Source organism: Homo sapiens, chromosome 13, assembly GCF_000001405.40.
Source record: "Homo sapiens chromosome 13, GRCh38.p14 Primary Assembly".
Lineage (NCBI taxonomy): Eukaryota > Metazoa > Chordata > Mammalia > Primates > Hominidae > Homo > Homo sapiens.
In genome coordinates, this window is record NC_000013.11 from 19,328,312 (window position 1) to 19,349,349 (window position 21,038).

The window sequence follows — 21,038 nt, forward strand, 5'->3', positions numbered from 1 at the left end:
TGTTTGTTTGCACTCAACTTAATTCATGATGTGTTTCAATAGGATGGCTGTAGTCAGTAATAACTTAATAATAATAATAATTTAATTTTACATTGTAAAATAACTTAAAGAGTGTAATGTGATTGTTTGCAACTGAAAGGATAAATGCTTGAGGGACTGGATACCCCGTATCCATGATGTGCTTATTTCTCATTGCATGTCTCAACCAAAACATCTTGTGTACCCCATAAACATATATATCTACTATGTACCCACAAAAAATTAAAAATAAATACATAAATAAAAATTATGATGTGTTAAATCTACCAAAAATGAATTAGTGGATGATTTGTAGCATTGCAAAGTCTTCTTTATCTAAAAAGATTTTACCATATGACACCTTAAAGACTGAGCCCTACAGTGCATTTAAGCACTTTTTCTAAAGATTATTAACTGGAAAAGAGTAAACTTTAAATTATTCAGAGCTTGAATCAGCACCAATCAGAAAAAGCAAATTCTTAAATTTTAATTCCAATGATCTATCATAATAAGATAGTGTTATGTATCTAGATACACTCTGTGCTTAAATACAGTTTTAATGTATTACAAGGTCCACTAATGACAGTGGATTTTAAAATTAGTAATATTTACTGATTTCCTGCATTGAAATAAGTCACAAAGTTACTGTTTGTATCTTAACACCAAAGGTCCCAATCTACAAGGCACGATTGGGTTGATTTTATAAGCCCATTTTCTCCCTGAATGTAGACAACGAAGTGAACTAGAGACCAAAAGCCAAAATAAATATTTAATGTTGGCACTAATGATTGGCAATATAAATCTCCAAATTTTGAACTACTGGGAATGAGTACTCCTTTCACATGAATTTAGCTCAGCGGCCATTACTGTTCAATTGTTTATCATTTCTCATGCTAAATAGTAAAATGCAACATTCAATGTTACATTCTTTATCATGTAAGGAGGTTATAAAAACGGAAGACCACATAAAATTCTAAAAATTGTTTGCCTCTATATCAAGAGTTAAACAATAGCTATGAGATACTATAGATTCTAAGAATATTTTAAAATTTATATATCATTAAAAATGCTTTCAAAGCTAAATGTTAAATTATGATCTATTGATTCCAAACAGCTAGTGTGAAAAATAATTTCATTTGGTCTATGTCACGTCATTAGAGCAAAGAAAACAATATAAAATCAGTACTGAAGTTCAAATTTTTACGTACCTGTGGCTTGTTATTTTCACTTCCTTCAAGCCTTTCTGGCTCTTGCTCTGACGTCACTTCTAAATCTTGTTCTGCTGACAAATCCACAGTTAGTTAAAATGAACTACTTAGAAGAGTTAGATAAAGGCTAAAGTCATTATAAAAATAGATGGAAAATAACACATAGTATTTTATAAATTGAGAGTTTTAAATGAAGCCTAATGTTTAGTGAAATATTTATTTCTTTAAGAAATACTTCCAGTTATCCAAAACTTCAACAAACCACTCGACTACACTAGATATCACCAGTGCAAGCCGTACAAAACATCTCAAAGATTTTCTCACCAATGTATCTACCCAACATAAATAAACAAAACCATTGGAAATGAAACAAAGTGTAAAATACACTAAGAACATCTATGGTAACACTGTATATACTGTTCTCTACTTCATAATAGTACCATTTTATTTATTTGTTTTCTTTTTTTGAGATGGAGTCTCGCCCTTTTGCCCAGGCTGGAGTGCAGTGGCATGATCTAGGCTCACTGCAACCTCCACCTCCCAGGTTCAAGCGATTCTCCTGCCTCAGCTTCCCAAGTAGCTGGAACTACAGGCATGCACCACCACGCCCAGCTGATTTTTGTATTTTTAGTAGAGATGGGGTTTCACCATGTTAACCAGGCTGATCTTGAACTCCTGACCTCAGGTGATCCGTCTCCCTCAGCATCCCAAAGTGCTGGATTTACAGGCATGAGCCACTGTGCCTGGCCCAGTAGTACCAGTCTTAACAACACACTACGCCTATGATCAATGATTTCCAGAATTACTGTAACCGTTTATACTTTTACCAGTGGACATCCTGCTCTGGATATCTGAAATGTTTTCCTCTACTATTCTAACCATTTCTTTTTCATCACTCACATTGCTGTGTTAAGTATTCCTTGATTCTTGCTATCTTTCCTCAGATAAACAGATGTCTCTTTCCTTGGGGCTGCCTTAGTACTGCATTGATTTCTCTAGTATATCTTTATCACCTGAAATGTACATTCTTTCTATGCATGTCTATTATCCCCTTTGTCCTAAACTGTATGGGACAATCTTTCAAATCATTTTTTCTTCTGTTTCATTTTTTTGAGACAGGATCTTGCTCTGTCACCCAGGCTGGAACACAGCGGTGCAATCTCAGCTAACTACAACCTCTGCCTCCCGGACTCTAGAGATTCTCCCACCTCAGCCTCTGAGTATCTGGGACCACAGGCGTGTGCTGCCATGTTCGGCTAATTTTTCTATTTTTTCCAGAAACTGGGTTTCACCGTGTAAAAAAGGAAATGAAACTACTGGGTGCAAAAATATTTTATGATTTATTACTATATAGATCTGATCGTATACCTGATTAAAGACACTGAATTTAACTGGGACATAAAGTAGAACACATATTAGATGCAGTTATTCAACAGATTATGTGTCCTAGTAAAATTAAAATGTATTTTCATGTTATTTTTTAAATGACACCACCTTCCTTCAAACCAATATTCCTAGTAAATTGTTACTCATTAAAACAAGGTGATACACTATGTGGACACAGCCGAAAAGACACCATCTAGCAAATTCTCAAGGATATCCATTCATACTGGGAAAGTCAATTCTATACTACATAAAGTCACAGAAATTATTAAAAATAACTTAATTTTGGGGTTTGGAAGGTGCTTTTTGGGCTACATTTTATATAGTAACAACTGATACAAATTCAGAGCTATGGAAATAAAGCAAAGAAACCACATTGTGTTTGAGCAGGCAATCAAACATCTCCCCCCCAGTCCCAAAGTTCTGCATGTAATCCTTGGACTCACATTCAAGTTTATGTTAAATGCTAGCCTAAACAAAATTACTCGTCCATCTCATTCTCTTTCTTATTTTTATGTTGCTTTGGTTAAAGGAAGAACATAAATGCCCTGCTGATAGGTCCTCTGTTTGGTTGTAGCTTGTATAAGGGGGGTGTGAACACAATACACAGTTTGCCACAAAATGATTCTTTAAAAGTTACAACTATGGTATTATGAAGCCAAGTACAGCTACACTGGGACTGAATTCTCTATGCTTCTTTATTACCTTCTTTGCTATCTTTGTTTTCTGGTAGCTGTGACTCACACAGGTCACGGAGAGTGTGATTCCAAAATAGAAGCGCACCTACAGTGGTCATCTTTTCTTGATCTATTAAGTTCTTCTGCCCCAAGTCTGTGGATCCCAACACAGTGTTGGTCATTGGTGGAGATACAAATGGACATAGATCACCAACTTTCAAATTCTCAGATCTTTCATGAAGCTCATTACTAAAGGTCAAACTATTAAAATCCAAAGCTGAAAAAGCTGAAAGTAAAGTTTTCATTATTAGAATGTAAATCATAATACACTTTGACTAACGTGGAGAAATTCCTTCTAAAACAGAAGCAGTCCCATGTCCTCCACTCCCCCAGAAACACACCACTCCTGCATGGCTTATTGTATTCTACATGTCCCGTACTTGCCATTCACTCGCATAGGTTTTATTAACAATCATCTTTGACATTTTTATTTTTTAGTGTTACTTACTTTGATTCACTCAGCGATATTATATATTTTGTTTTCCATGAGAGCTTTGTTTATTAATAATAAAGATTCTTCAAGAATATCAACTTTCTTTTACTAACAAGACTTATGTTTAACCATTAGACACATGATGTGTCATAAGATCATGGGTGCTTAATGGGCCAGAGTTATAATGACTATTGGAATGCATGGCGGTGCATGCTTATATTTTAAATTATTCAGCTTCAGTTTCTGATATAGTAAATATCAATAGATACAATCCACTTAAACAAAAGCTCTTTGGAATCTGCCATCATTTTTTAATGTTTTTATCTTTTTCTCACCATGAAGAGAGTTTAATTAAATGTAGTACTGTTATAGCATGAAATACTATAGGAAATGTAAACTCAGCTAGAGCTCCTTCTGAAAATAGCGATGATCTCTTTGGTCAAATCAATGGGTGTGAACAAAACATATCGACTGATCTAAAAAATGTAATGCTGAGTAAGCAAAAGAAAGCTGCTGAATAATATATATAATGTACAATCATTTATATGATTGAAACTTTAGGACAGAAACACCAATGCTACATATGATTTATGGCCATACACATACACAGTAAAACGTATGAAAACTTCATGACAATGACAAACACCTAATTCAGAGTGTTGGTTACTTCTATGCAATAATTATTAATTGTACAAAAAACCCTAAGCGTATAAAGTTTCAGAATCATTCTTTGAAATGAGTGTGTCTGCCAAATAGCCATGAAAAAAAATGATTACTTTCCTCATTTTTGTAATCCAAGATATTCCCTGCACACACACACACACACACACACACAAACACACACACACAAAATAATCAAAGCATCCGATTTGCTTCAGATCATCAGTCTAACAACACTAGGATGAAGTAATTAAACTTAGTACAAAATTGACATGTTAGTGAGGAAAGCTTTCCTCTAGGTAAAGATCAGAATTTCAAGAAGCATTCCAAACATGGGAAAAAAATTGTAGTCTCATAATTCACCTCTGTGAAACCCGAATGAGTATAGGTATTCCCAACTGAGAACTTCAGCGTAGTAATACGTAAAAGAAGATACATCTAAGTCAGAGCTTACATTTTAAAAATCTATCTTATGCTTCTAAATATAATGTTTTTCAAACATAGATACCAATGCAAATGTCTGCATTATATATATCAAATCTATCCATCAAATTTGAAAAAAGACATAGGAATATGAAGACTGTTAGCATTTAGAATATTTTAATGTGCTCCTTTCCAGAGTTAAATTTGTATTGCAAAAATTTTTACCTGATGTGCATGCTTGTACATCTTTCATTCCGACCGCCTGGTTCGAAACACACTCTTTGATTTCAACCTTAGGCTGAAAGGGTTTTGAGACAAAATGATTAGTAAATAATATATGTTTCATATGCTATGTGGTTAATAATTAAAGATAAATATAGAAAAGTTATTACCTTCAAGTGATGATATTGCTCAAGAGAATCTAGAAGGCAAAAGGGATATATAATCAATTATATATAAATATGATAAAGCTAACCATACACTCAGAGTTAGTATCAAGCTGAACCTTAGTGCTTCACTTTAAAAATAATGAGTTTAGATTTAGGGGTGCGTTTCTTCTGTCAGGACAGCAACATGACAGAAATATCCTGAAGAAAACTAAGAAGATAGGTTGAATAAAACATGCAGTTAACATTTCAAAGGCAAGATTCTGATTCAGATATCTGTAACTAAAATAGAAAAGTATGCATACAACCATGTGTACATGCTGAGGAGGAGAAAAGTGATCTTTAACCAGCAGAGCAAATTGTGACCCTGGGCAGATAAATGTCCAAGCTGATGGTAGAACGCTATAGTGTGTCTTTAATGTGACACATCAGAATCATTTATACCATTCTACTACAAGTACCTACTATGTCCTTCAATTGGTCCTAGAATGTAGAAAGCACACAGTTGTCATGACAGTTCATTTGAATGTTTAATTCATTTCTCATCAGAGAAAGTGTTCTGAAGTGATTACTTTGGATCCACACTTACAGCAAAATAGTTCATAAAAATGTTTATTTTTTTTCCATACCTATTTGGGCTTACTGATAGGTCTACATTTCTTATATCCTCTAGTTTGGCCATCTTAAATTTTTTTATCCACTCATGCAAGAAGGTATATAAAACATTTCTAAAAATAATGTATAAGAAGCTTTCAACATTGAAATATTAATAAAAAATGCATTGCTACACAATTATTAGCTACTCCTGAACTTTTATATACCAAAATGAGTGTAATATTTATGGAAAATAATGCCTTTTCTATTTGAGGAATAAACTTTGTAATTTTTTTGTTTCTAAACTTAATTTGGGTTGGCATATCATGTCATCCATGATAAACTTTTACAAAACAGGCATCCTATTAAAAAAATCGGCTGCTTTAAAGAAAAAGCAGCCAAAGCGCCTACTTTTAACTTCACCTCAGTTGATTAACTCATATCAACAAAACATGCATCTTTGATGTCTGATAGTCACAGAGAGAAGAAATTAGCTCCTGTGGTTTACCCCCATTCTAGCACTCCCTCCTTCCAGTAATTCCTGGAACAGCAATCACCTAATCTTCCGTTTGAGTGCCAATATATTGCAGCCATCAGAAGTGAGAGCTCTCAAGTTTCCTTATTATCAACTCCAAAATTAACTAGCCAACTTCTTTCTTTCCTCCCTCCTCCTCCACTCACAATCCCTCTTCCTTTGCAAAAGTAATCTCTAGATCTGTTGTCCTGATTCTGACCCTTCTGCCTTCTTTTGATGGACTATTCCCATGACTTCTCTTCTCTTCATTTAGCAGTGGGATCTTCCAGCAATGATTTCTATTTCTTCATCTCTTTCTCCTTCCCCTGTGGCTAGAAACACGCTCAGAAATAAAAGGAAAATCATGCTTTCCCTTGATCCTGTTATGTCTTGAGTGGTGATCCAAGGGCTCTTCTTCCAGATTCCTCTAAATGCACAGCTATACCCTTGCTAGTCAGAGTGTGGTCCTGGGACAAGAAGGGTCGGCCATCACCTGAGATCTTATTAGAAATGCAGAATCGCAGACTTGTGGAATCAGAATCTGCACTACTAACAAGGTCCTCAGCTGATTTGTTAAAATTTGGGAAGCTCTGGTCTATACTGAGTGTGCTCCCACATTCGTTAACCTCAACCTGCCCTTTTGGAATCCAGCCTCAAGCTACACCCTATCACGTCCTCCAAATCTAAGCTGCATTACAAGTCTTAAGGTTACTAACGAACTTTTTATCAGGCTATAGCTTCCTTGATCTCTCCATAACTAATCCTACCCTCTTCTTTCCAATGCTCTTCTTTTGGCCCCTAAGATACTATCCCATGAAGAAACAAGATTTTATAGCACATTAAATTATAGACATGTAATTTATGCATGGCTGACCATACATTACATTCTTCTATCGCAGATGAAACACAGCTCTGCGTGGTCAGGTACCACCATCCTTAATGCATTCCCAAAAGTAACGAAAATGGCAAGAGTGGCAACATTTTGCTTGACTTCTCTGACAAGTTTCGGTACTGGAAGCTCACTTTATATTCTCCCCAAATAATTATCTTACTCTATCACCCATCATTGCATATATCTGCTTCTTTTTCCTTCATTTACTCGCTGTATTCTCTGCCTTTTTCACTCTTCATTCCTGCATTTACTCTTTTCTTCTTCCTTATTTTCTGACTTTCCTCAGGTCTTAGACTATCTTGAATTGGAACTAATGATTCAGCTCCTTTAGTGGCACTCTCAATTAAATCGGTTGCTAATTAATGCCTTACAAAATATACAACATATCACTATTTCACTTCTCTTTTTTTGACTATGCACTTAATACCTTATTTTCCTTGGCTACTAGAATGTAACAGAGCTCATGTTTTTAAATAAACATTCTGTCACATTTTTAAATAAAATACAGTTCCTACCTTCTTGTTCCTTTATTGTACTTTTTCCTCTTTGACCATCAGCTCCAGTTAAGCGACTATCATATTTCTGTGGAACATTCTCAAAGGTAGTCTGTTGAAATTATAATGAATAATGAGTTTCAATGAAAAAACAATGAATTTCTCAATATTTCCTAATCATGTTCTGAATTTCCTGATTTAAAAGCAATGAGACCTAGAAATAAGGAAAGCATGTATTGAAAACCAAAATATTTCAACAGAGGAACTCATATATGCTCTCCAGATCAAGCAAAACTTTTATCTCCATATGGCTATTGACTCTGTAAACTGAACATAGAAAGCCAAAGGAAACACTGTGACAGACACAATATTAGCTCATGTGTATATTTCAGCGAGGAACTAACTTCAAATACCTAACTCTACTTTGTGTTCACTACCAACAATAAGAGGGCATTAAAAAAAACCAACACACTTGGTATAATACTTACAACATTCATATTTGAAATATTTCTAACTACATAAATGATCTTAGTGTTAAAATAAGATACTCGGCATGATAGGTAACTTCAGGGTATGTTACGTTGAGTGTAAGCAGAACATTGTCAAAGCTGCTTTATTTAGGTGAGGAAGGGCTTGGAAAAATCAAAATATTTTTGGTAAAATTTTTATTGACAGGAAAAATGGCAAAATAGTAAGAAGCCTTTTTTTTATGCCTTGTTTAAATAGAAGCAAGCAAATATTAGATATAGTATGCAATTATTTCCCAATTAAGAAATAACTTCAAGAAAGTAAAGCAAGAGTTAGTAAAAAGGGAAGGAAAAGAACATTTGTTATGAAGCATCTAAACTGTCCCAGGCCCTTATTTACACATTCTCTTTTCTACACATTCTAATAATACACATGAGGACGAGGATGCTTACCACACTTCCCGCTTTTTGGATGTAGAGAACAAAATGAAAAACAGATGGGACCCACTGTTCTCTCTGTCCAGAATATCCTCCTTCTAGACTTTCACATGGCTCGCTGCTTCTTGTCCTCTAGTTGGCAGCTTAAATGTCACACTCAGAAAGATATTCTCTGAGAACAGAATTCTACTCCCATTCCGGGCCCCATCCTAACTATGCACTTCTTCAATGTGCCCTAACCTAAAATTCTCTGTTTTCTTTATAGGAAGCACTTATAGTGACTTAGAAGTGTTTGTTCTTTACTTGATTTTCTGCTCCTACTATGCTATCGTAAGCCTTATCTTCTACATTCAGTGTCTCACTGCCTAGCACACAGTCAGGAGTCAAGAACAGAAATTCCTTCAAGGTCAAAAACAGAATCTCATTGGAAAGGTCTCAAGTGCCAAATCACTGGATTCCCTTAGGATATTCCCATAGTCTACTGAAACTTAATGTAAACCAAAGTAGAAGTCGACATGCCTGTTCTAACTTTCCCTTTTTTTTCTCGGCACTACTGCCATTTCATTGTTCAGGTTTACAAAAAGAATCCTCAATATTTACTAAATCACTGAATCCCACTGTGATCATTTTGTCCTACACTTGTATACACACTTTACAGTTTACAAAAGGATTTAACATTTCTCCCCAAATTTGTTCATTAGACATACTTAAGAGGTAATATTTATGAGTGTCATTCTTATAATGTGAATTACAGTAAGGTACATGGAGAAGTACAGATATATATGGAGACTTTAATTCATAGGATAGCCCTAAAAATACTTATTAGAATTTACAATTTTTTGTAAGTATTTCTGTAATAAAGACTTCAATTTTCTTCCTACAAAATAAGACATTCATTCGGGTAAACATGGTCATCTACCACTATGTGAAAGCTGGAACATTATTACTACAGAGAGATAAAAGAGAAAAGAAATGTTGCATCAATATTCCACCAGGAGAAAGAATAGGAAATCAAAATTATAAAGAGTAATGTACAACCTGAAAAGATATATTTAAAAGAGCATAGGTTGGGGCTAAAAGAAAGTTAAAAAAATTTTCATCTAAAATCCAAATCTGAGCTTACAGTTAGAGGATATTAGAAAAATACTGTAATCTGCTTTCCTACTGATGACATAGTTCTAATTTATTTCCTTCTTATTTATAACATATTTGCATAACTCATGTGAACTTATAACCTAAACATTAATTTAAGCCATATTTTGGAAATGCACTAGATGTTATTATTAGATATCTTCTGCATATTATATTACCTATAACATTCTGTTATATAGAAATTTACTTGTCCGTTCATTTCTTCATGTTCAAACATGATTAAAACACTTCTTACATGCAAGACTTTAGGTACTTTAGGATACACAAGAATACGTTTTGTAATATTCAGTAGTTCACAGTAGTGCAGGACCTTTAAAATGATTATTTAAAGAATGAAATACAAAAACTTCTGAAATTTGAAACTTTAAACTGTGATACAAAGATGCTCTGTGAATATTTTTTACAACTACAGCGCAAAAAGTGTTTGAAATTAAAGTCTTACCACATGGTTGTTAAAAGTCTCTGCTTCTGGAGCTGGTTGTTATTGGAGGAAAAACATGTATGCTTCAATTAGATGAAGAGCTTTAAATATACGCTTCATAGAATGGCTTAGGAAATACATGGGAATCTCTTTGTAATACAGATTTTGAGACAGAAATTTTAAATTTCTGAATTTCCACATTAAAAGAAAAACTAGAGGTGAGGTCTTCTTATGTTGCCCAGGCTGGTCTGGAACTCCTGGACTCAAGTGATCCTACTGCCTCAGCCTTCCAAGGAGCTGGGACTACAGGCACGTGCCAGCATGCCCAGCTACATGTCCACAATGTTATTGGAGTCTAATTACAGAACCAAGGACGGAAAGAGAGAAAAAGTTTCCTACTAAAAACTGTGTCATCCCACAATAAGCATCCAAGAAAGTAAAAGGAAACCATATGATATGTGCTTTACAGTTTTGGAACTGAAAGACACCGGGGACATTCTATGGTTACTATAATGAGTAATTGAACCCATTAAAAGGTATTCAGGCACAAGGATTATAAAGATCACTATAGTATGACTGAAAAGTTCCAGTAAGAATACTTACCAAATAAACCCGGAGCAAATTTCAAGTTTCCTCTACTGTGGGAAAGCTTTTCCATGCAGTTTTCCTATCACTATGTATTTTCCAGTTCATGCCATTTTTCAGCCCCAATTCCTCAAAGTATTTACCACCCTTTCCCATTTTCCAAAGAAAAAATGTAAAAGACGTTCAAATAGTCATATTACTATAATATGTTTTTTTCTGACCAACTATTCCCCAAGACCATAAAACAATTATAGATAGACCGCTGCCACAGTTGAAGAGTAAATACTATGCAAAACTAGATTCAGAGCAAGAAAATTTATTTCACAAAAGAGCACTTTACCTTGGTATCAGAATCAAAGGGTTCGTCATCTACTGAAAGCCATGAGTCACCAGAACTCTGTCCACAGGACAGCCTATAGAGAAAAACATACAACAAAAATGAATGAGTTCATTTATCTAAAAAAAAATGGATTGTTTTGTGTCTAGGTATCATCCCACAAAAAAAAAACAAAAACAAAATCTGGGGAAAGGTCAGCTACCTATAGAATAAATAATATTTCTTAATTAATTAAAATTGGCCTCTTTTTCAAAAAGATTTTAGTTACCTATTTCTGCCTCCACCTTTCCCAATCTATGAAATGTTCGATAAAGACTCACCTTTAGTTCCTTAACAAATAGTGACTGGCAATATATTGGCAGAGCCTGAGAATAATTTGTCTTCAGAAGTGTCTGTCCTGAAGGCTGAATTCAATATCCAATTAATGAGTGACATAACCTTTGTTACCTGAATTGGAACCAGTGGATCACTTAAAACAAGGTAGAAAGAGACACTGTGTCTTCTCCATTACCTGTATCTGGTTCAAAGGCTAATCTGTGCCACTCAAAAATGGCAGTCTTGGTTCTTCAGCATGGAAACCACTTAAGTAGGCCCTATTGCTGCCCTTTACCCTAAAACAGTGTAGGCAGTTCCCTGAAATGTCTGAAATTCTTGACACCTGAACGTACAAAAGTTAAAGGAACAAGTGTCTATGTCATTATTGGAAATATGCTTTGCAGAAAAATTAAAACTTTAAAAATGATAAACTTTAATTATGTTCCCTGCGTAGGTCCCGCCTAGTTCAGGTCCACATCAACTAGCAAGCCCTTGAGAATCTTCATAGGTGCTCTGATACCCAAGGAGAGAGACTGCTGGAAAAATAGAGTCCTGAAAGCTGTATCTCTGTTTTTCCCAACTGTTATCTCAATATCTTCCTTCCTATGGGCTCCTACTTACAGATCACTCTAGGACTCAATGACAGTCTCCAACATTGAAGTCTTTCATGTATGAAAGCACCCATTCCAAAAAATGGGTTCAAATGACCAAGAGTAGGAGCTATTTCCCTCCTTCCGGTAAACAAACTACGTGTAGTCTCAGTCATCTGTCCCCAGTACAGACACGTTCCCCACCACCCAAGTGAATTAGTACAACCATCTTGGAGAATAGCTTTGAAGTTCCTAAAAAAAGCTAAGAATAGAATTACCATAGGATCTAGCAATCCCACTGCTAGGTATAAATCCCAAAGAAAGGCAATCAGTATATTCAAGAACTATGAGCACATTCATATTTACCGAAGCATTATTCACAATAGCCAAGATTTGGGAAAAAAACTAACTGTCCATCCGTAGAAGAAAGGGTAAAGAAAAAGTGTTACATAGACACAATGGAGTACTATTCAGGCATAAAAAATGAGGTCTTGACATTTACAACAACATGGATGGAAATGAAGGACATTATATTAAGTGAAATAAGCCAGCCACAGAAGAACAAAGTTTGCATGTTCTCACTCATTTGTGGAAGCTACAAATTGAATCAACCGAACTAAGGGAGATAGACAGTAGAACAATACTTACCAGGGGCTGGGAAAGGTAGTGAGATTGGGGGAGGGTGGAAGTGGGGATGGTTAACTGGTACAAAAATATATTTAGATAGAATTAATAAGATTTAGCTCTGGAAGGCACAACAGGGAAACTATAGTCAACAATAATTTATTGTACATGTTAAAATAACCAAAAAGTATATTTGGAATGTTTGTAACACAAAGAATGATAACTGCTTGAAGGGACAGATAGACCCATTTACCCTGATATGATAATTATGCACCACATACCTGTATCAAAATACCTCATGTACCCAAAATACCTCATGTACACTTGCTATGTACCCATGGAAATAAAAAATAGAAAGATAACGCAGAAAAGAACAGCAAAAAAAAGGGCTGAGATAACAAGGACACATTTTTACCAAAAAACTATTCTTACTTGGATTTCAGAAAACTTTAAGCCAAAGAAACATCAACATTCAAATGAATAAGCATGGCTCATTTTATTCAATATTTAGATTTATATGATATACGTAAATCAGATATTATCAATGATTAATATTAGTATTTAAGACTGTTATAAGGGAGTGGGTTAAATTACTACTATCAGGTACTATGCTCACGGCGTGAGTGACACCATCTGTCCTCCAAACTTCACCATCACTCAATGTTCCCATGTAAGATATCTGCATATGTGCCCTCTGTATCTCAAATAAAAGTTGAAGTTAAGAAAAGAAAAGAAAAACACTGCTATAAATTTTCAAAAGGGTAGTTAAAAGGTTATCTTTCACAACTTTCTACCTTCAGAAATGCTTTTGTTTGAAAGGAGGGAGGAAAAGCTTCAATTTAGATTAAGTCCTAATAGTCCAATTTTAAATCTCTCAACTTGTTCAGACTGGGCAGGTAAACATAAAGTTTTTAAGCTTGGAAGGGTCCTGAGAGACAGTAGAATACATAGTGGGCATTCAGGTTACATTTAATGAATAAATGGATTAAAAGAATACATAAATGTATTTGAGGAGTTCAATATTTTTAAAGAAAACTCGTAAAGATAAGTAACACTTGTGCAATAGAAATGATTTATATTTGCTATTTTTTATTTTCATAAGGACACCACTAAAATAAAATGATTAAATTATAATTGTTTGCATGTATGTAATAAATCTATCCATAATAAAAGACATGCATAAAAAATATACACAATACAATCTACCAGCACAGATTAAAAGATTCCCTCTATTTCTGAAGAGGCTAAACCTTGGCAGAAGATACCAATCCACAAAAAAAATTAATAGAAAGCAAAAACTTATTTTTATCTGTTCAAGATTCATATTCCTGTTCTTACCTAGGATTATTTCAGTAATAATAGACTTTTACTAAACCTGTTATACATGCTCATTGTGGATATCACAATAAGAAAAAGGAAAATAAATCACCCCTAATACAAATGTCCCAAAATAACAAAATTTTATCACATTTTGTGTATACTTTCAGCTACCACAAGACCATTCCCTCTGTGTGTATGTATAATCAAATCGATTTTTTCTCACTTAATATACCAAAGTACATCTTCCCATGTCAACATACATCCATATCTATTGCCACCTTCAGAAGTTACATATAATTTCATCCTATGGATGCACTGAAATTTATTTATAAAATCCTTTATTTGCCCTCTCCTTAATACATTGCTATTGGAAACAGTGCTGAGAAAAACGAATTGTATGCATCTCTAATTATTTTCTGAAAATATTTTAGTATAATGGAATCAATGGGTAAAGGATACATACCTTTTTAAGAGTGATGTTCACCACCAAATTGTTTATTTAAAAAGTTAACAGCAACTTAAACTTTAAGCAGTGGTGTAAGTACTACTGATTTTCCAGATCACTAGTAGATTTGGAAAAAGTACTTTGACCAATTTTAAATTATAGTTCTTATTTCTTTAAAAAAAATTCTCTGTAAAAGGAAGACACATTTTTCATTGCAAATAATAAATGTCTATATTTATGTATATAATGTGAATATTTTGCAAGTATGTTGTCTTTTATTTTGTTAACTTTTTTCTGATGTAAGGGGAGTTTTAATTTTTGTTTTCTAAATCAACCTGCAGAATGCATTCATAGGAAGGTCTTTGTCAACATAAAAATGTATCTGTATAAATAGGCATTCGTGTTTTCTTCTGGCATTTTCTAATTTTGTATATTTAAGTTTTTACGCATATTCTATCAATAACTTATTTTTGTAACATAAAAATCTAGCTAGTTTTCTCGAGTTCACAGACATGTCATTTACAAATAACTCATCTTTCCATACACATATGAAATGTCATCAGGATCAGGTTCTAAAATCTTACACATTTTTCAGTATGTGTGCATTTTTTATTCTGTTCCACACATTTATCTGTCTTCTCATCTTTTAGTAAATGAAACCTAATATCACACTTTGATATATAGAAGGGCAAGTCTTTACTCTGTTATAAAAATTTTCTTAATGTCATCATAAGAGTAAAAGGTAGCATACGTAACCTAGAAATCTTAAAACCTTGATGCTTTTATTTGGTTTATCTAAAATGAATAGAGTTCACATCTCGAGAAAAATGAGTCTTCCCACATGCACACGTATGTTGACTGCGGCATTATTCACAATTACAAAGACTTGGAACCAACCCAAATGTCCATAATGATAGACTGGATTAAGAAAATGTGGCACATATACACCACGGAATACTATGCAGCCATAAAAAAGGATGAGTTCATGTCCTTTGCAGGGACATGGATGAAGCTGGAAACCATCATTCTCAGCAAACTATCACAAGATCAGAAAACCAAACACCACATGTTCTCACTCGTAAGTGGGAGTTGAACAATGAGAACACATGGACACAGGGAGGGGAACATCACACACCAGGGCCTGTCGGGGGGAGGGGGTGGGGGGCCAGGGGAGGGATAACATTAGGAGAAATACCTAATGTAGGTGACGGGTTGAGGGGTGCAGCAAACCACCACGGCACGTGTATACCTATGTAACAAAACTGCACGTCCTGCGCATGTAATCCAGAACTTAAAGTATAATTTAAAAAAAAAAAGAAGAAAAAAAGAAAGAAAAATGAGTCTTCCTATTCAAGAACAGGGAACCATCCTCTCACTTCAAAAGATCCTTCTGAGGTCATTCATGAAATAACTTATTACTCAGGTGTAGGTGGATATAAAAGGGATATTAGATTTTATCCAAAGAATTTTTAGCCCAGAAGTTAATATAATATAGAAATTATTTTTCTCATGATGCTTGTTTCCATAACATATATAACATTGTTTAAAATGTGTACAATAAAAATAAAAAGCTATGTTTCTTAATTTTTTTTAAAGCACTAAAACTTTCAGTAAAGTAACGGGAATTATGAGAGGATCGGACCAGCTAAAGTTTTGTTTGTCGCGCTGCTCATATTGATGACCTTGAGGTTGCCACACCGGCTGCTGCGGGCTGCAGAGGGAACAAAGCCCAGCGCCCTCGGGGACAGGGGTGAGCCGAGAGCAGGAAAGGGGGCCTCTCCCCGACCCGCCCTCCTCCCTCCTCTGCCGGGCTCCAGTTCCTATTACCTGTTCTTCTCGTCTCTGTCATCCACGCCACTCTTCGGCAGAGAAAGGATCCGCCGCATCGTCTCTGTCCGGTGTCGGCCGGCAGCTCTGCGGAGCCTGTCGAACCCCTTGTCCGGGTCGTGGCGCCTGGGCTGGGAGGAGGCGTGGTCCTCACTCTCACTCCCGGCGCCCGCGCCCACCTTCCCGGGGCTGCTGACCGAGCCCCAGGGCAGCTCGCCCTTCCCCCTCCTGAAGCCCGAGGTCTTCTTCATGGCTCCGTCTACCGGCTTCGGAGACCCGCTGGACTTTCCGCCGCCTCCGGAACCCTATATGAGGAAGCAAATCGCGTCCGCCACAGCCTCCAACCAGGAAACTCCGCGACTCTCAGCCCCTCAGAAGAGAAACGGAGACGCGCCAAGCAAAGCCGTTACACGGACTGTGCACGCGCCTCCGGTGTCCCTGCGCGTGACACAAATTTGGCCCCGAGGGAGCTCCGTGTGCTCAGCCTCAGAGCCGTAGGCGAGAGCGCCTGTCTGCATGAGTGAGCATATGGGTGTTTTTGAGTCTGTGGGTGTCACAGAGAGGAGATCGGGAGCTGCCTGCTCACAGGCACTTTGGGACCCCGAAAGAAAAGGCTGTGCCGAGAGAGTTCTTCCAGTCAGAGGTTTGGGAATGGGGGAGAAGGGAGTGCCCGGAATCCCGACCTCAGAACTGAGCCTCCGAAGTGGGAAACAGTGGCTCCCCCACACGCTCAAGGGCCAGGCAGGTGCATCCACCCTGCCTTGCATGGCCCAGGTGTGAGCCGGTGGGCAGAGGGGTGGCCCTGGGTCCAGCTGAGAAGGCTCCCGGGATTGACAGGGGTTGGGGTTGGGGAGTTCTGCCTTCCTGCGTGGCCCAGTGCTGGGAGGGGTAAGGGATGAGGGCAGGGGTCCTATCGCTGGGCTCTGACCCCTCAGGCCACTCAGACCCTGCCCATGTGGGCACTCAGGGGTCAGGTGTTCTTAGAGGGAACTAAGCTGGGCAGGGTCACCGTCCCCTTCTGCAGAGGAGGAAGCTGAGGCCCACGAGGTAAACAGTGGGCTGGGAGTGGGCCTGGTAGACCCCAATCCCAGCCCATGGAGACCAACTACTGAGGGAGCACTACAAACGCCCCTTAACGGCTGGATCCCCCAGTTTTCATGCAATGGGGTCTACACTGACCCTGGGGTCTCACTGGGAGAGAGCAGGAGGTGGCTTGAGGCTGGGCATGGGTGGCCACGGGGGCATGGACTGGCTGACCCCTGTGCATTGACCACACTCTCCATCCCCCAGGTGTCATGAAGACTGGACATGGGCCTATCAGGGCCATGGGCATGATGTCAGCCAAGGAACTCGCGGCCTGCCTCTGCCAAGAGACCAGCATCTCGGCCTGAGCACTCCCAGCCTCCCATCGCCTTCAACCTGGCTGCATTCAGCTGCCATGCCCCTACCTCCTTGTGTGGTCAGCACCCTCCAGGACTTCATCTTGGGTCACCCAAAGGCCGAGGACATTGCTGGCCAGCAGGAAATTCATGGTGCATCCAGGAAGACTTCCAAGAGGTGGTGGAGCAGGGGGCGCCACACCCAGACAGCTGTGTGTAATTGCGCAGCTGCGGGCTGCTGCGGGTGCTGGCCGGCAGTGCATTCTGGGCACACTGGACTGTGTCACCGCATGCAGGCTGTGGCCGGAGGGGGAACTGCTGGCCGCCAAGGCCTATGTGCCTGGAAACCAGCAGGGCTGCTGCAGGAGGAGGGCTGCAGAATGCTCCAGCTCAGACCTGACTCAGGGTTTTAGAGGGCATAGGGCATAAGGCTGTGGACATAGACAGCCCTACTGCGCAGGAAGAGCATAAACCAGCCGGAGGGCATGCATGTGGGCTGCTGTTAGATTCTGTTCTCCTTTGAGGTAGGGAAGGATGTGTTTCTATTTTATGGATGAGCAAACTGAGGCAGAGTGCTGGAGTGATTTCCCCCAGCAACGATGGCAGATTTAGCTCCAGGGCTTAGATTTTAGGATCCTCCCTCTCAAATACCATGATGTATCATGGGCTTTCTCTCCACAGAAAATTAGAAACTCAGAAATGGAAAGGGAACAATGAAACTTACCCATTCTCCCACTGCTCACATTTCCTTCTGGTTTTTTTGCGTGTGCATATAAAATATATCTCAGAAAATTGAGTTTGTGCTGTGGATGCCATTTATATCCTACCTTTTATACTCAATAGATCATGAAAATCCCCTTTGTTGCTAATTATATTTCCTGGCAGCCCCATGGCCCATCCTATGCACGTGCTGTTATTCCTTCGGAGAGTCCTAGATTTTTGCTCTTAGTTGTAACACATCAGGAGTGACATCCTGTCTCCACGATGTTTTCTCCTTAAGATGGAGACAGATATAGCGCTCCTGGATCAGAGAGCACTGCCACCTGTAGGATCCTTGACTTCAGGAGCTGTCCCCCTAACCATCTGGTCACCTCTCATCCTCCACCCAGCTCTGATGCTCACTGCAAATTGTTTGCCAACCTAACGGGTGAACCCTCAGCTGTTCTGATGAGTACTCCTCTGACTGCTGGAAGGTGACAGGAAGGAGTTTTAGCAACATTAAAACCACTGAGACTGGGGATTTGGGGGCATCATTAATGTCAGCCCCCTCCCCACCAAGTGCGCGCACACACACACACACACACACACACACACACACTCTTATTCTGCCTCCCAGGTGCTTAATTTGTATGGCTTTGGTTTGCTAGTGAGGAAGAACTTTCTTCTTTCTTTTATGTGATTTGAGGCCATTATATTTGTATCTGGAAATTGTTAAAATTGAGGCTCTGTCTCCTTTTCCCAGTGAGAATTCATGAGCATTCCCAACATTCCCACGTGGACACAGACACATGCCACTTGTAGCCCCTGTGTTACCTTGTTCTGCCTACAGACACACCCATGGGTCCAGAGACCAGCAAGGCCATATTGCTAATCCAAATTTTTGTGGAAAAGGAAACTGATGCAGGATCTGCCCAGGGTCAGCCCTGCTGTTGAGCATCTGTGTAACCTCAATTCTGTCATCTGTAAAGTGCCTCCCTGACAGGGCAATGGAGAGATTGAGGGGAATGTAGGGTCGATGGCTGCACACCGGGAAGTGCAGCTGTGGGTTCTGGGGATGGCATGGCGTGGGGGTCCCTCCAAAGGGACACAGGTCTCTGCAGTCCTGTGGGAAGGAAGCTACCCAGGCCAGGTGCATAGGGACAGGATTTACCTTGGCCCAATCATCTGGGTAGTTGAGGGGTTGTGGGGAAGGGGCCAGCCCATCCTGAGCAACTCTCCCCACAGGGAAGCCCCACGGCATGCACCAGCTGGCCACACTGCCAATGAGTTGGATGTGGAGGACGTATCGCACCTTCTGGTGGCCAACACCCTGGTGGCCACCTGGATGAGGCCCACAAGTCCCTGCTGGTAGCCCTCTCCTGAGGACTCAGATGGCCCCGTGCTGGCCCTGCTGGCCTTGCTGCGGCTGGGGAGAGGCTGCTTCTACGATGCCAACCCAGGTGGGCTGCAGAGGGCAGGTAGCAGCGGGACTCTTCTCTGAGGAGGGCACAGGCCTTCCGTGGCCCTTGCTCTCCACCCCACAACCTGGGCTTTGGAGCAAGCAAACCTTGTTCAGCCCTAGTTCTGCCACCTGCCACAGGCCCTCACCTCTTTGACCTTCAGTCTCCTCATCTGTGTCCTGGTCTTTTAGGTTGTCATGGAAATTAGCCGAAGCAGGTACCCCAGGGCCCAGCAGGTTTCCTGCATACGGTAAGTGCTTTGTATTTGTTTTTGCTGTGGTTCCGATGATATCGGTGAAGGTTTTTGTTTGTGTGTTTTTGTCCCTATGCCCTTCCATACCATACTGCTTTTCAGGTGAAAAGAGGCCATGTATTTTACATGTTCTACATTACAAGAAAACTCAGAAGAATTCTTTTTACAAAAGGCCCAATTCAATTGTATGAAAAGCATCTAAGAAGACAGTATAAATTATTGTGACAGTATAATTAAAACTGGAAAGAAGTCCTCACATTAAGAGTTATTCCTATATATCACAATGCTATAGATAGTGATACTGTTTCTCTGTACAAAAAGTATGAGGCAAAAGCTCATGCAGAGCCCTTGACTTTCCCGCCTCTAAGCTAGAACATCTCCAGCTCCTTCGCTCGTGATGTGCCGACTCTCAGAAACTCATTCTGATCCTGTGCACTTTGTACTCTTCAAGAAGAAAGTGCCAATTGAAAATTGTATGGCCATCAGTGAGTTTCAAATAATAACAGATGAGAATTCTCCTGATATGCCTATTAAAATAGAATTAGAGTATGTTCTCACTATCTTATAATGTTATATCTTCCTCTTAAAATGTTATACCTTCCTCTTATAATATTATACCTTCCTTTTTTCCCACTGGATTATCCTTAGATCACCAAAATTATAACTAATTTAAGGATATATTTATGAGTCTTAACAATTCCAGCACTTAGGTTAACTAATTATAATAAGCCTTTGGGCAGTAAACAAGTGCGTTGTTTGCTTTAATTCTAGAAGTGAAAACGGAAGGTCTATGCCCGGGCAATGCCACAGAGGAGGAAGACACTGGAACTCACTGAGTAATTTACTTCTTTCTGATCCCTAGGACTCTATAGAGTTTGCAAAATCTTGTGTAAACCTCAAGCACAGTATTAAAATTCTATCTGTAGACTTTTTCATATTTTAATTTATTTTGCATATCTAACTCTTTAGTGATTTTTTTATTTG

The 21,038-nt window shown here is 38.6% G+C and overlaps 1 long non-coding RNA gene and 2 pseudogenes across 2 annotated transcripts in view; 2 read left to right on the forward strand and 1 right to left on the reverse strand.

The window, feature by feature from the left end:
* ANKRD26P3 (ankyrin repeat domain 26 pseudogene 3) overlaps positions 1-16,662 on the reverse strand; it is an 82,174-nt pseudogene extending 65,512 nt beyond the window's left edge. Inside the window, exons 1-6 of the transcript NR_027248.3 lie at positions 16,264-16,662; positions 11,146-11,218; positions 5,255-5,283; positions 5,088-5,160; positions 3,315-3,572; positions 1,227-1,297 (exon numbers count right to left, since the gene is read on the reverse strand). The product of NR_027248.3 is annotated as an ankyrin repeat domain 26 pseudogene 3 (transcript). The remainder of the gene's footprint in view (positions 1-1,226; positions 1,298-3,314; positions 3,573-5,087; positions 5,161-5,254; positions 5,284-11,145; positions 11,219-16,263) is intronic.
* Positions 16,663-16,737: 75 nt separating this feature from the next.
* On the forward strand, positions 16,738-18,438 carry LINC00421 (long intergenic non-protein coding RNA 421). The gene is made up of 2 exons (NR_034026.1): positions 16,738-16,906; positions 17,554-18,438. It is a non-coding gene; the product is annotated as a long intergenic non-protein coding RNA 421 (long non-coding RNA).
* PARP4P2 (poly(ADP-ribose) polymerase family member 4 pseudogene 2) overlaps positions 20,820-21,038 on the forward strand; it is a 59,018-nt pseudogene continuing 58,799 nt past the window's right edge.